This window comes from Homo sapiens, chromosome 10 (assembly GCF_000001405.40).
Source record: "Homo sapiens chromosome 10, GRCh38.p14 Primary Assembly".
Lineage (NCBI taxonomy): Eukaryota > Metazoa > Chordata > Mammalia > Primates > Hominidae > Homo > Homo sapiens.
Genome location: NC_000010.11, coordinates 64,678,168 through 64,693,472, shown reverse-complemented (window position 1 = coordinate 64,693,472; position 15,305 = coordinate 64,678,168). Strand labels below are relative to the sequence as shown.

General features: G+C 34.9%; 1 long non-coding RNA gene across 6 annotated transcripts in view; it reads right to left on the bottom strand.

The window, feature by feature from the left end:
* Nucleotides 1-533: 533 nt before the first annotated feature.
* LOC124902439 (uncharacterized) overlaps nucleotides 534-15,305 on the bottom strand; it is an 820,351-nt gene continuing 805,579 nt past the window's right edge. For all 6 annotated transcript variants that reach the window (XR_007062161.1, XR_007062160.1, XR_007062166.1 and 3 more), the window contains 2 exons: nucleotides 1,963-2,031; nucleotides 534-980 (listed from right to left, as the gene is read on the bottom strand). This is a non-coding gene — a long non-coding RNA (uncharacterized LOC124902439). The remainder of the gene's footprint in view (nucleotides 981-1,962; nucleotides 2,032-15,305) is intronic.

The window sequence follows — 15,305 nt, the reverse complement described above, 5'->3', positions numbered from 1 at the left end:
AAAGGTAGCAAATGATGAAGAAAAGCATGCTTTATTATAACTGGTTTGTTGGATTCAAGGGGTCACAAGTAGAAAATGAAGATGAAAAAGCCAGCAAAATCATCAAGAAGATCATGTTTCTCGAGCCAGACATTTGAACATTTTTTAGTAGATAATGGGAAGTAATCAAAGAGATGTAAGCATGGAACAAATATGACCAGATTTATATTTGAGAAAGATTACTTTGATAGAAGACTAGAAAATGAACAAAAAGGTTACAAACCTAAGACGGAGATATTAATTAGGCAGCTACTTCAATAGTTCTCATAGAAAATTATAAAGACATTGTATAAAGGCCATAATAGATCTTTTGGAAGAGAAAGTTTAATTCTTTAGGAATGTAGAATTAACAGAACATGAATATAAATGGAGGTATGAGAATAAAAGAATAAGTAATGTACAATCATATCCACAAAGTTTATTTTGATGACTAACCTGAAAAAAAATGAATTCACTCACTTGTCCAGTAACAAACGAATCCACAAGAATGTAAATTTTAATCAATAGGAGTTTTATTACTTAGCACAAGTAAGGAAGCATTCCTCAAAGCAGTGTCTCCCTGAGAGAGTTTATGGCGCTATGGAGAGAGGAGAGTGTGCATCATCACATGTACGGGACGGGTCCCAGTTGCTTTAGACGCAGTGAGCCTTTATGCCAGCACAAAGGTTGCATGTTCTGGTAATGAAGCTATAGTTCCTTTCGGGATGGAGACTTTAGCATGATAATGAGGAAAGTTCACTCAGGTTCATCTGTCAGTTGCTGGGGTCTGTCAGGAGCTGGTTCCAACCAACTAGGTGACCACATCCCACATAGAGTTTTGGAAAAAGTAGTCTCCAAGGCAGGAGGCTGTAAAACAGGCTGATTGCTCAAGTTGATTAATTCGTATAGTTCCTGGAGACTCTCCTTCTCTGCTTAAAACTGCATAAATAGTGGGGTCATTCCTGAAATCGAAAATAAAAGAAGAAGAGCTAGTTTATCCTAGTGTGGGAGTAGAAGTGAAGTAAATAAAGAGTTTTAGGTTTGGTTTTACAAATCTATACATATCTGTCAGACTCCTAGGACAAATATCCTATAAACTCTGGAAAAAACATGACTTTATCTTGGAAGAGTTATCCAAGATAAAGATATCTATTTTAGACAACCATATAGTTAGCAGTTTGTATCAAAACATTGCATTCTAACTGATGAGAGCATATTGTCTGTCCTAAACAATTCTGATATAAATTTTAATAGCTCACTCTTTCACAGTCAAAAATGACCCAGTTTGATGGGTAAACCAGAAATAGAGTTTTTGCCAAGAACCTAATCATGCTGGCACCCTGATTTCAGACTTCCCAAACCCTGGACTGTGAAAAATAAATGTTTATTGTTTAAGTCACCTAGTCCATAGTATTTTCTGTAGCAGCCCAGGCTCAGACACTTTTAAAGAACTATTTCAAATGTCATTTCTGCCCATCAAAGTATTTTTTGTCCAGACAGATGATGTGTTTCTTTCATCATGAAACATATAATTATTGAATAAAAATAGTAAACACTATTCTAATATCTAACTAATCTAATGCTTACTATTTACACATATTAGTATTTTCTGTATATGTTTAATAACATTTGCAAATATTTGTAAAGTTATGTGCTTTAACTTTGATATCCAATGCAAATCTCAGAACACTGCCATTTTATAGATAAGAAAAATAGGTTTGGAAAGATTATATGAGTTACTCTGAAACTCATGTTAGTGAGTGGTATGACAAAATTAGATCTGAGGTCCAACCCAAAGCCCAGGATTCTGATGACTATGCCCTATTACCTTTTAATCATAAGCTTTTTTTAAACATAAGTGAATGTGGAACATTAAGATTCATAAGCACACATTTGTTTGAACATAAAAAAGTAGATTAAAGAAATAAATACTATCAAAGGTACCTTTGAATAGTTTGTCAAATAATGTACATCAGTAAATAATTTTCTGTCTTTGGCAGTTTGATGTTTGATCTAGAAAAAAGACAAAATATTCAATTGTCTTATTTTTCTTTTGCAATCAATCAAAGCAGTATTATTTTAGCTTCATGGATTATCCTCAAGTAGAAAATTAGTTTAATCAGTTAACACTTTCAAATTTTCTTTAAAAATAAAAGTTTTCAATGCACTACTGTTTGAGGAAAAGGTTGACAATTGAAGATGGCTGGAGGCAAACAAATAATCCAAGAATATTATTTAAAGGGTCTCTATGACTTCTGCAACATGCATATGTGAAATAATATAAGAACATCAATGATTTTTGTCCTTGAATTTTTCCCTCCAAGATATCATGTTTTTAACTTTCCTGAAACATATTATTGTGAGCTCTTTACTCATTCTGTAATTTGTTTGTATCTTTTTAAAAATGTTTACAAAGCTGTGGTAAATTAAATAATTGCTCAATCGTTTTCTAAAAGATTAAGAAGAATAATTGTTGTACTGTTTAAATATTATAAAAGCACCAAATAGAAGGTAAATTGGGGCTACTTGCTAACATAAAAATAAGAGCAGCATTTAAAGGTTTATTTCTGGCCTTTAGAAGGATTTTGTATTACTTTTAGTTCTACTTCACTTAAAATAACTACCCATCTGTTATTTTCTTTCCAATTCTTCACACAATTGAGACTGACCCCATATTTACACTATCATCTTTCCAATAGATATGCTGAAATGGAACTCTGGCTCATAGACTAAATCATTTGGGTATAGGAAGGCACTGTATATAATTTATCATCACCACAAAATCTTCCAATTTTCTTCCCACTAACATTTTTTCTCAATGTTTTAATATTCAGCTCTTCTGTCAGTAAGGCTTAGCCTAAAGATGACAGGTGGTGCAACTTCTGTGGATCTCATTATCTTTAGCTTTTCTAACAAAAGTCAAAACATAACGAGAAAGACAAAGGGAGTCAACCAACCAAGTGTAATACTCTGAAACTAATTATTCACCAGCTGGCCACAGCCATTTTAATGTATTCTTTGGTGGGAACTTCTGTTAAGAGTGAATACATACATTGTATGGAAGGAATAAAACTTGACTTAGGGGGAACTACACAGGGCTTCCTGCGACTTCAAGACAGCCTATGCAGACAAGAAGTATTATGCATTACAAATGATAGCTGCTCCTGTACCATGTAACCGTAGGTGTCAATGCAAATGGGGCCAACAGCAAAAGGCTGACATCTGGCATCTGTGACAACTGCCCTACCCACATTCTCCAGCAGAAGCAAGTCCATAAAGAAAATTATATTCATGAGTATTTTAGACAGTCCTGTTTGTCTTCTGACATCCATGTGTTTTAAATCACAAACCAGGCTTCTTCCATTGTCTTTAAGAGGGATTTGTCTTTATCATTTGTGATGGCAATTTCTCAGCTAATGCATTCATTCACACTATTTTAATAATTTCTTTCTGGTTTTTAATATATACATTTGTATATATCTGAAATCTCTCTCCTTGAGAGTCTTTATTCATTTTCCTATATTAAAATCATTTGCACTAAAATATTGTTATACTATTTAGCGTATTTTTCACCTTATTACTGGATTATTGGATAATCACCATGACTGATTAACTAAGACTTGGGATATATACAAGGTCAAATTCCAGGGCTTTGTCTAAAGGAATTCATATCTTAAAGATTAATGTTCTTCAGAAGAAGATCACTCCGGTATGCTTTTGAGTGATCTCTGAGAGAGACCTGCAGCAATTCTGATGTGAGTAGGATTTCTGCTCTTGGCCATCTGGAGAGATGTAGGGGTAGGTGAGCAACTTCTCCAAGCTTCTACTGATTCACAGTGAAGAGAAGGCAGCTATAGGCACACAGAAGTGGTGCGATATAGGGGCAGCCAGAGACTAGTACAGCAGTGTAGGGTCTTCTAGAGAGCTGTGTGAACCACAAGCACTAATATAAAACCATAAAGGCAGAGACTCCTGCATAGGGTCACCATGAGACATCAATGTCAGTCAGTGACCCTTCTGAAGCAATCACTATGACATGGTTAGGAAAGGAGAGCCTGAAAAGAAACACCAAATGACTTGTTCAGTAGGACACATGCAACAAAACCTGTGAAACTCTCAGAAGCAATGAAGAGAACTTTTCAGGAAACTAATTTCCAGCAAGTAGCTAAACGGAAGCTTGATCTTTCATAAAAAGTAAAAAGGAGGAAGTTGATCCTATTTTTCCTGTCAAAAAGTATAGTTTATTTTGTTCAGGTTTTTCCCCAAAGTAGATACCATTTACTACCAACTTTGGAAAACTGATTGGGTTAAAGTGTTCCTTACAAGTACAGGGTAAAAAGTAAACACAGGCCATTTATCAACACCATTTGAAGAGTTTGAAAACTCTGAAGAGTTATTAAAATATGGATTCCTAGATTTAACACCAGACCTACTGAATCACAACCACTACATATAGGGAGCAAACATCTTTTATTTTAACAAGTTCTTCACATTGTTCTTACGTGGCAGGTCTGATAACTGCCTATAAACTAGCAGTTGAAAGCTCCAATAAAGTATTTACTACTGAAATGAAAAACTATTCAAATTCATATACTGTCTTTCATTTTAGTGTTTATTGTGCCTAAGTAAAATTTATGTCAAATAGAGATCAACTTTGACCACTCAACTTGCCATTTATAGTAAAAACTTTAATTATGTATGTTAATGTACAAGAAAGAAAAACAATATCATGTGTGAAAATATTGTACACATATCTATCATCACATCAAAGGTTACATTGATGTAAAAATTAGAATGGGTGAGTAATAAATTATTAGTAAAATCCAATTTATATATAGGAATATTTTCTATACTTATCAAATATATTATTCTTTATTTTCTAAAGTTTTCATTTAAAAATAATAGTTTATTAAACAGTAAGGTAATATGAAAGGTTAGGATGCAAAGTGTTCTTCAAAATTTTGTGTATATTTCAATAAAAATTTTATTATTCAAATATGGATTAAATACTTAACTAAAGATAATTGCTTGGCATAAATAGAATATTTTAGACATCTTTATTTAAAAAAGAAAGCATGATTTCTGATTTCATCAGAGTGAAATAAACATTTACACTGTCATAACAGTTATATGATTTTCAAAAAGTGCATTCTTCAATAAACAATACTTATCTAAAACATTCATATTTGATAATTAACAACTGGTTTTGAAATGTATAATAAACAACAGAAGTTACCACTTTAAAACTCTGGCCTTCACTTTCTCTTGTGAACATTTCTGACAATTTCAAATCTGACACACAGAGATTTACTTAAGACTATGCTAAATAAACCAATGCTAAGTACAATTTCTAAAAAATCCGTGCTTGACTGGGTCATGTTGTTGCAGCTGCATTTGCCATTTTTCCAAAGAAGACAAAATGTGATTATCCTCATCAAATTTCTCTTTGAGGAAGAAAAAATGAGACCACTGGCTAAAATAAAAATAATGTAGTTACTGGCACACTTTTTGGCTTTATGAATTGCAATAGAGAAACTCATGAGAGGAAAATATGAGATTGCTTTATTTTTTATAAACAAGCTTAGCTTTTTACCTCCATATTAATGGAAAATCAACCAGATTCTTACGTGAAGCACAGTCACTCCTTAGACTCACTGGGTCTTGTCAAGGTTCTGGAATCTCAAAGAGTATCAAGTATTTGAGAAGGGACCTGCTTTTTCTTATTAATCTATGCACACACATGTCATCGGGTCACAGCTAAGAAATACTGCTTCACATTAAAATTGTGCCTTCAGGTCTAGCAGCTCCAAAGCTGCCTTGCCACACCAGGGAAACTGGAATCTTTTACAAGGTTAAGAACCCTAGCACTTTTAGACCCACCTTTCTAAATACATGATGGAAGCAGCTCTCTCTCAGTCAAGCATCTTTGGATGTTTTCAGGAAAAGTAATCAAGTTTTCATTATTCAGGAAACCAGAAAACTTTCTTCTACCTATTCTGGGGGAATCCACCCATGTAGAAGAAATACTTTTCTTTGTCAAACTCCATACGTCTGTTTTAGTCCATTCTCATGCTGCTATGAAGAAATACCCAAGACTGGGTAATTTATAAAGAAAAGAGGTTTGATTGACTCACAGCTCCATATGGCTGGGGAGGCATCAGGAAACTTACAATCATGGCAGAAGGCATCTCTTCACAGGGCAGCAGGAGACAGAATGAGAAACGAGTGAAGGGGGAGGGCCCTTATAAAACCATCAGATCTTGTGAGAACTCACTCACTATCACAAGAACAGTATGGGGGAAACCGCCCCGTGATTCAATTATCTCCACCTGGTCCCTCCCACAACACATGAGGATTATGGGAACTACGATTCAAGATGAGATTTGCGGGGGGACACAGACAAACCATATCGTCTCAAAAGGCTTTGGTTTGGGGAAAACAAGCCGGTAAGTTTCTAAAGTGCCTTCTGCTTACAGTCCAATCAAACACTTTCTCTGAGGAAATAAAGCACAACATTTGCCTTCCTGAATGAGCAGAAATAGAAGAAAAAGTGCAGAAAATGAATAAATATCTAAAATGAAAATCAATGACATGCTCAAAATATTTTTATTCAGGTTTTAAATTTCAAATACGTGATCAATATCATTAGTCATTGGGAAAATACAACTTAAAAATCAGTAAAATATCACTATTAGAATTGTTTATGCTAAGAATGAGGCTGTGTGGTGTTGCGTGTCTGTAATCCTAGCACCTTCGGAGACTGAGGTAGGAGGATCACTTGAGCCCAAGAGTTTAAGACCAGCCTAGGCAACATAGTGAGACATCGTCTCTGAAAAATTTATATTAAAAGATAATAAAATGAGAAAACATAATACTGAGAGCTGGTGAGAATGCAGAGCAATTGCAACTCTCATGAAGTGTTGGTGAAAATTTTTTAAAAATTGCATGGCAACTTTAGAAAACAGTTCGGAATTTACCTACCCAAAGCCACATCACTCTCAGTCTTGGATATTTACTCCAGTGAAATGAAAGCATAGTTCGCACACAAACCTGCACACAGATATTTATAGTGGCCTTCCTCATAATCACAAAAGACTGAAAACAACCCAGATGTTCCTCATTTTGGGAATGAATAAATAAACTGGAAACCATACACTGAAACACTAAACTTAAAGAAAAAGTAATGAAGTACTGATATAGACAATAACATAGATTGACCTCAAAAAATTATGTTTAATAAAAGAAAGCAGACTCAAAATGCTGCATACTTTATAATTACATTTACATGACATTCTATAAAAGCCAAAACTATAGGAAAATAAAATAGGTCAGTGATTAACAGGGACAGAATGAGGAAAGGGACTGACTACCAAGTACCACATACTAAAAAAAATTAATTTTATTGTATGTACATTACATGCTATTAAAATTGGAAAAATTTTAGTTATGACAATATTATAAGAAACAATAGAAGTACTTTTGATTGGTTTCAAGAAAAGTTCTATATTAATGATAGTTTGATCCAACTTCTCAAAAGTTAAGGCAAACTTTTGAAATGTTAATAAGTATTTAGAGTCAGGAAGAAGGATGATACAGGTCTTTTATTTAATTGAGATCTGAGGTATTAAATTATAAATATTATATACTCTTTCTTTGAAAAGGTTGGATTTTTCTTACAAAATTCATAAATATTTCTTTTACTTTAATCTTTTTAAAAATATGAATAATTCACTGTTTAGAAACCTTAAAAAATTTGAAAAAGTAATAAATTGAAAGTAAAAGAAGATGATCACTATATAGAGACAATCAAGGTAAAAATTTTGATCTTAAATCTTCAATGTCTTTTTCTTTTTCCTTGTATATTTTTTGTACTTGTAAATGGATTTTTAAAAAAAATTTTTATTCATGCTTTTGTCAGATATTATGTTTGAATTGTCTTATAACCATGTATATATTATATATGCTCTATATACCATACATACTGTATATTTTCTATAAATAGTATGCATATAGTTTATATATTTATGTATGCACATATCATAGTAAAAATATTCAGTTTGTGATGTATTTCTTTTCTTACAGCAATAAACTATGAACGTATTTTATAGTTTTCTATAAAATCATGTATTATATTTTCTTAAATCTCCTTTAGAAATCATGTTGGAGCAGAAGTCCAAGTCATTTTTTTTAATCAAGAAAGAAAATACATTAATGGAAAATGAATGACGCCTTCTAGAAATACACAAAGTACAAAGTAGAATCCATTTATTTACTTTAAAATAAATAAAAATTTTTACAAAAATTAAGGATAAGAGGGTTTCAGTCTCACAGAATATGTTCTTTGCCACCATCTAAAGAGTTCAGTGACTATTTTGCTTTAATCTAGTTAGAAGATATAAAAGTGCATAAATATTACAAACAGAAAAAAAAAGGAAAGAAACAGAAAGGATAGCAGGAAGGGAGGAAGAAAGGAGAGAGGAAATATATTACCTAGTATCAAAAACCGATATGAATGTTTTTTTGAAGGCATCCACCCAAAACCCAAGATTCCAAATGCTGAAAAAGTGGGTTTAAGAAATTAGGCCGGGTGCGGTGGCTCACAGCTGTAATCCCAACCCTTTGGGAGGCTGAAGTGGGTGGATCACTTGGGGTCACGAGTTCAAGACCAGCCTGGCCAACGTGGCAAAACCCCGACTCCACTAAAAAATACAGAAATTAGCCAGGCATGGTGGTGGGCACCTGTAATCCCTGCTACTTGGGAGGCTGAGGCAGGAATTGCTTGAACCTGAGAGGCAGAATTTGCAGTAAGCAGAGATTGTGCCACTGCACTCCAGCCTGGGCAACAGAGTGAGACTCCATCTCAAAAAAAAAAAAAAAAGAAAAGAAAAAGAAATTAAAAGATTTTATTCTCATGGTCAGTATTTGTTAAGATCTTTGGATAAGTGAATTTTACTCTGCTTAAACAGACACTGGTCAAATTTAACATACTATTAGTTATTGTCTCAGGTAAAAGTGCCATATACGTAAAATTGAACAAGATATTTGTTTTTATTTTCCATTAGTAATATTTTGGTGATAAAAATAATTATTATATAAACATAAGAAATTTAGACATCTTAAATCATTTAGTTAACACTTAATGAATGAGAAAATTATACAGGTGATCCAAATAGACATTAATTTATAGACATCATATTGATATCATTATAATTGTATTCAATCAATTTATCAGCTGAATCATATGCCAAATGTTGTCTTCTTAATTGGATATGACTAAAGTTAAAAATCAAATGTGACATGATTAACTCACAAAATGGATATACTGTCATGTATACATGTATAATGACATTTTAGTCAACACACTGCATATTCAGTGGTGGTGCCATTAAGTTATCATCCCATATTTTCACTGTACCTTTTCCATGTTTACATATGTTTAGATACATAAATACTTACCATTGTGTTAAAATTGCCTACAGCATTCAGTACAGTAACATGCTGTATAGGTTTGTAACCTAGGAGCAATAGGCTATATCATATAGCCTAGGAGTGTAGTAGGCTATATCATCTAGAGTTGTGTAAGTACATTCTATGATATTTACAAAACAAAATTGCCTAATACATTTTTAATTGATGTTTTAAAGTTTAAAAAAGCCAAAAGTGGTTAATGATGCATTTCTCAGAAATATGCATTTCTCAGAGTGCATCCCCATCAGTGACACATGACTGTATACTTTAAATAATCCTATACAATATTTAAAAAGTTTTTACTGTATTTGTAAATATTTTTTCGTAAGTTTCATAAATTGTGTTTAATGACCATTTGCTACCAGAAAAAATAGGATAATTTTATTGCAGTTTGTACCTTTATGGGATCAGTGATACCCTTTATTTAAAGTTTATACTATTTCTGACCAGGCGTGGTGGCTCAGGCCTGTAATCCCAGCACTCTGGGAGGCTGAGGCAAGTGGATTACTTGAGGTCTGGAGTTCAAGACCAGCCTGGCCAACATGGCAAAACCCCATCTCTACTAAAAATACAAAAATTAGCAGGGCGTGATGGCACATACTTGTAATCCCAGCTACTCAGGAGGCTGAAGCAGGAGAATCACCTGGGAGGTGGAGGTTGCAGTAAGCCAAGATCATACCACTGCACTCCAGCCTGGGTGACAGAGCAAGACTCTGTCTCAAAAAAATTTAAAAATAAAAAGTCAAAATCACAATGGGCTATCACTTCCTACCACCTAAAATGGCTAAAATAAATAAATAAATAAATTAATTAAGTTTATACTATTTCTTCAATCCTGCACAATTTTTCAAAAACAATTACAAATGACTACCTCAATTTATTGATTTTCTTCCTATGAGTATCCCGCTTTTTAAATTTGCGTATGCTTAAATATTCCAAGTATTCTTTAACCTATTTTATATAATAGTTGGGAGGGTTTGATTACATTTTAATTACATAGATAGCTTTTCTTTGTGTTCTTATTCAAGGAAGATATAAAATGTTAAGAATTCCTCATTTTAATATTGTCATTATATTCATGAATCTCCTCACGTGATAGCCAGGCTATTCCTCCCTTCTGCAAAGCAAAAATTTCAAAGTTGCTAATTATTCTTATTTATTTTATTTTGTTTGTTCATTTTATCTTTTGACAGAGAACATTCATAGATATGCATATATTTTATTTTGTCCTCTTTAGATTTCCCACAGCCATTTGGCAATATTCAGTATTAGCCAACAATTCTTAAGTAATTTCACCATAATCTATGGGAATACCATCAATCTAGTTATCCCATGAGTAACATTTGTATCTGATGAAAAATGCATGAAGTAGGACTCCAGATAAAGATGGAGAATAGGAGGCAGGACTGGCTTGCAGCTCCCACTTGGAAGGACAGAGCAGTGTGTGGAGTCTTACATTGTAAACTTTGGCTACAAGAACTACCACAGGAACATACCAGGAAAGCTGAGAGAATCTACAGACCCTTTGAATGAAATGGATCACCACTGCAGGCTCCCCAAGTGGCCAAAAAACTGAGTTGGCTTGCTTTCTCAATAGGGAGGCTCATGGTCCAGAGCAAGTTCTCAGCCCTGGTCACAGGCTGCCTGGAAATAGACTTGATGCTGTTGACAGGTCATGGTGGGAGTGAGACCGGCCTTTAGGAATGTTGGTTGCATAGGAATCTAGTGAGGCCAGTGACTGCTGGCTTTCCCCCACTTCCCTGGTGACCTGTATGACTCAGCAGAGGCAGCCATAATCCCCTGGGAACATAGCTCCATTGGACTAGGAACAACACCCCATCCTCCACAGCAGCAGCAGCAAGCCCCACCCAATGAGAAGCAGAGCTCAAACACGCCTATCCCTTCCGACACCTGGTGGTCTTTTGCTACCTGCCCTGGTAGCTGAAGACAAAGGTCATAATCTCTTGGGGACTCTATGGCCCTGCCCACCACCTGAGAATCCTAGTGCATGTCAGAATCCTCCCTATAGGATTGCAGTTGATACACTCTTGAAAGTGCCAGCTCCTGGCTGGAGACCAACCAACACGAAACCAGTGCACTATACAAAAACACAACCAAGGACCTTTAAAGAGTCCACTTTACTTCTGCTGTCTCCACCAGAGCAGGTGCAGGTATCCATGGCTGTAAGACCTGAAGACGGATCACATAACAGGACTCTTTGCAGACACTCCCCAGTACCAGCCTGGAGCTGGTACCTCCACTGGTAGCTCTGCTGGGTGGCGAGACCCAGAAGAGCAAAAACAATTACTAAAGTTTTGCTCTCAGGAAGCCACATTCCTAGAGGAAGGGGGAGAACACCACATCAAGGGAGCACCCTATGGGACAAAAGAATCTGAACAGCTGCCCTTGAACCCAGATCTTCCCTCTGACATAGTCTAAGCAAATAAGAAGGAGCCAAAAAGACAATTCTGGTAATATGACAAAACAAGGTTCTTTAACATCCCAAAAGATTATACCAGCTCACCAGCAATGGGTCCAAATCAAGATGAAATCTCTCAATTGCCAGAAAAAGAACTCAGAAGGTCAATTATTAACCTAGTCAAGGAGAAACCAGAAAAAGGTAAAGTCCAACTTAAAGAAATCCAAAACATGATAAAGGATATGAAAGAAAAATTCTTCAGTGAAATAGGGAGCATAAATAAAAAACAATCACAACTTCTGGAAATCAAGGACACACTTAGAGAAATGCAAAATGCACTAGCAAGTCTCGGCAATAGAATTGAACAAGCAGAAGAAAGAAGTTCAGGGCTTTAAGACAAGGCTTTCAAATTAACTTAATCCATCAAAGACAAAGAAAAAAAAATTTTTTAAATGAGCAAAGGCTTCAAGAAGTTTGGGACTATGTTAAATGTCCAAACCTAAGAATAATTGGTGTTCCAGAGGAAGAAGAGAAGTCCAAAACTTTGGAAACATATTTGAGGGAATAATTGAGGAAAGCTTCCCCAGCCTTGCTAAATATCTAGACATCCAAATATAAGAAGCTCAAAATATACCTGGAAATTCATCACAAAAAGATCCTCACCTAGGCACATACTCATCAGATTATCTGAAATCAAGATGAAGGAAAGAATCTTAAGAGCTATGTGAGGGCAAAAGCATCAGGTAACCTATAAAGGAAAACCTATCAGATTAACAGCAGATTTCTTAGCAGAAACCCTATAAGCTAGAAGGGATTGGAGTCTTACATGTAGCCTCCTTAAACAAAACAATTATCAGCCAAGAATTTTGTAACCAGTGACTCCAAGTTTCATAAATGAAGAAAAGATACGGTCTTTTCCAGACAAACAAATGCTGAGAGAATTCACCACTACCAAGCCAGGACTACAACAACTGCTAAAAGGAGCTCTAATTCTTGAAACAAATCCTCAAAATACACCAAAATAGAACATCCTTAAACCATAAATCTTACAGGACCTATGAGACATAGCACAATGAAAAAAAAAAAACAAGGTATTCAGGCAACAAATAGCATGATGAATAGAATAGTACCTCACATCTTAATACGAACATTGCATGTAAACGGCCTATATGCTCCACTTAAAAGATACAGAATGGCAGGATGGATAAGAATTCACCAAGCAAATTTTTGCTGTCTTCAGGAGACTAACTTAACACATAAGGATTCACATAAACTTAAGGTAAAGGGTGGAAAAAGATATTCCATGCAAATGGACACCGAAAGCGAGCAGGAGTAGCTATTCTTGTCAGACAAAACAAACTTTAAAGCTACATCTGTTTAAAAAAGACAAAGAGGGACATTATATAATGATAAAAAGACTTGTCCAACAGAAAAATATCACAATTCTAAATATATAGGCATCTAACACTGAAGTTCCCAAATTTATAAAACAATTACTACTAGATCTAAGAAATGACATAGATGGCAACACAATAATAGTGGAGGACTTTAATACCACTCCACTGACAGCACTAGACAGGTCATCATGACAGAAAGTCAAAAAAGAAACAATGGACTTAAACTATACAGTACAACAAATGGACTTAACTGATATTTACAGAACATTTTACCCAACAACTATAGAACATACATTCTATTCATCAGCACATGGAACATTCTCCAAGATAGACCATATAATAAACCACAAAACTGGTCTCAGTACATTTAAGAAAATAGAAATTATATCAAGTACTCTCTCAGACCACAGTGGAATAAAATTGGTAATCAACTCCAAAAGGAACACTCAAAATCATGTAAATACATGAAGTTAAGTAACCTGCTCCTGAATGATTGTTGGGTCAGCAATGAAATCAAGATGATAATTTAAAAATTATTTGAACTGGGATGGGTGCGGTGGCTCATGCATGAAATCCCAGCGCTTTTGTAGGCTGAGCTGGGCAGATAACCTGAGCTCAGGAATTCGAGACCAGCCCGGCCAACATAGTGAAACCTCATCTCTACTAAAAATACAAAAATTAGCCTGGCGTGGTGGTGCATGCCTGTAGTTCCATCTACTTGGGAGGCTGAGGCACGAGAATTACTTGAACCTGGGAGGCGGAGGTTGTGGTGAACTGAAATTGTGCCACTGCACTCCAGCCTGGGCGACAGGGCAATACTCTGTCTCAAAAAAAAAAAAAATTCTTTGAACTGAACGGTAATAGTGACACAATTTATCAAAACATCTGGGATACAGGAAAAGCGTTGCTAAGAGAAAAGTTCATAGCGTCAATCTAGGAAAATGACAAGAAAAGCCTCAATCATTTTAGGAAATTTATTTGCCAAAATTAAGGACACCCCTGGGAGACAATTCTATGCCTTTCTCCGAAGATGATTTTGAGGGCTCCAAATTTAAAGGGGAAAAGATGGTATATTGAGAAGCATACAGTTTTCATATAAACAAAAGGAGCAGAGGAAAAATGTGGAGAATCTGCATTTTACATAAGATAACCCAGACAAAATGGGGTAGGGGAACAATCAGATATACATTTGTGTCTGGCGGGCTAGAGTGACTGCACCTGTAAAGATAAGCTATCAATTTGCATCGTCAAGGTGAAGTTTTAAAGCTCACCAGGCATTTCCTTGTGGGCAACATATCGGGGAGGCATGTTGCTTTTCATCTTGGAGTCATCTTATTTAGAAACCTAAAAGGGAGGCAGATTTGTGTGAACCAGTTCCCAGCTTGACTTTTCTCTTTGGCCAAATGAGTTTGGGGTCCCAAAATTTAATTTCTTTTAATAATAGCATTAAATGCCTACATCAAAAAGTCTAAAAGAATACAGATGGACAATCTAAGGTCACACCTCTAGAGCTAGAGAAATAAGAACAAACCAATCCCAAACCCAGCAGAAGTAAAGAAATAATGAAGACCAGAGCAAAACTAAATGAAATTGAAACAACAACAACAAAAAACAATACAAAAGATAAATGAAACAAAAATCTGCCTCTTTGAAAAGATAAATAGAATTGATAGACCAGTAGTGAGATTAACCAAGAAGAGGAGAAGAGCTAAATAAGATCAATCGGAAATGAAATAAGATCCAAATAAGATTAATTAGAAATGAAATAGGAGATATTACAACTGATACTACAGAAATGCACAAGATTATTCAAGGCTACTATAAACACCTTTACATGCATAAACAGAAAAACCTAGAGGAGATTAATAAATTCCTGGAAATATACAACTCTCCTAGATTAAATCAGGAAGGTACAGAATTTCTGAATAGACAATAACAAGCAGCAAGATTGAAATGGTAATAAAAAAAAAACTGCCAACAAAAAAAAAGTCCAGGATCAGACA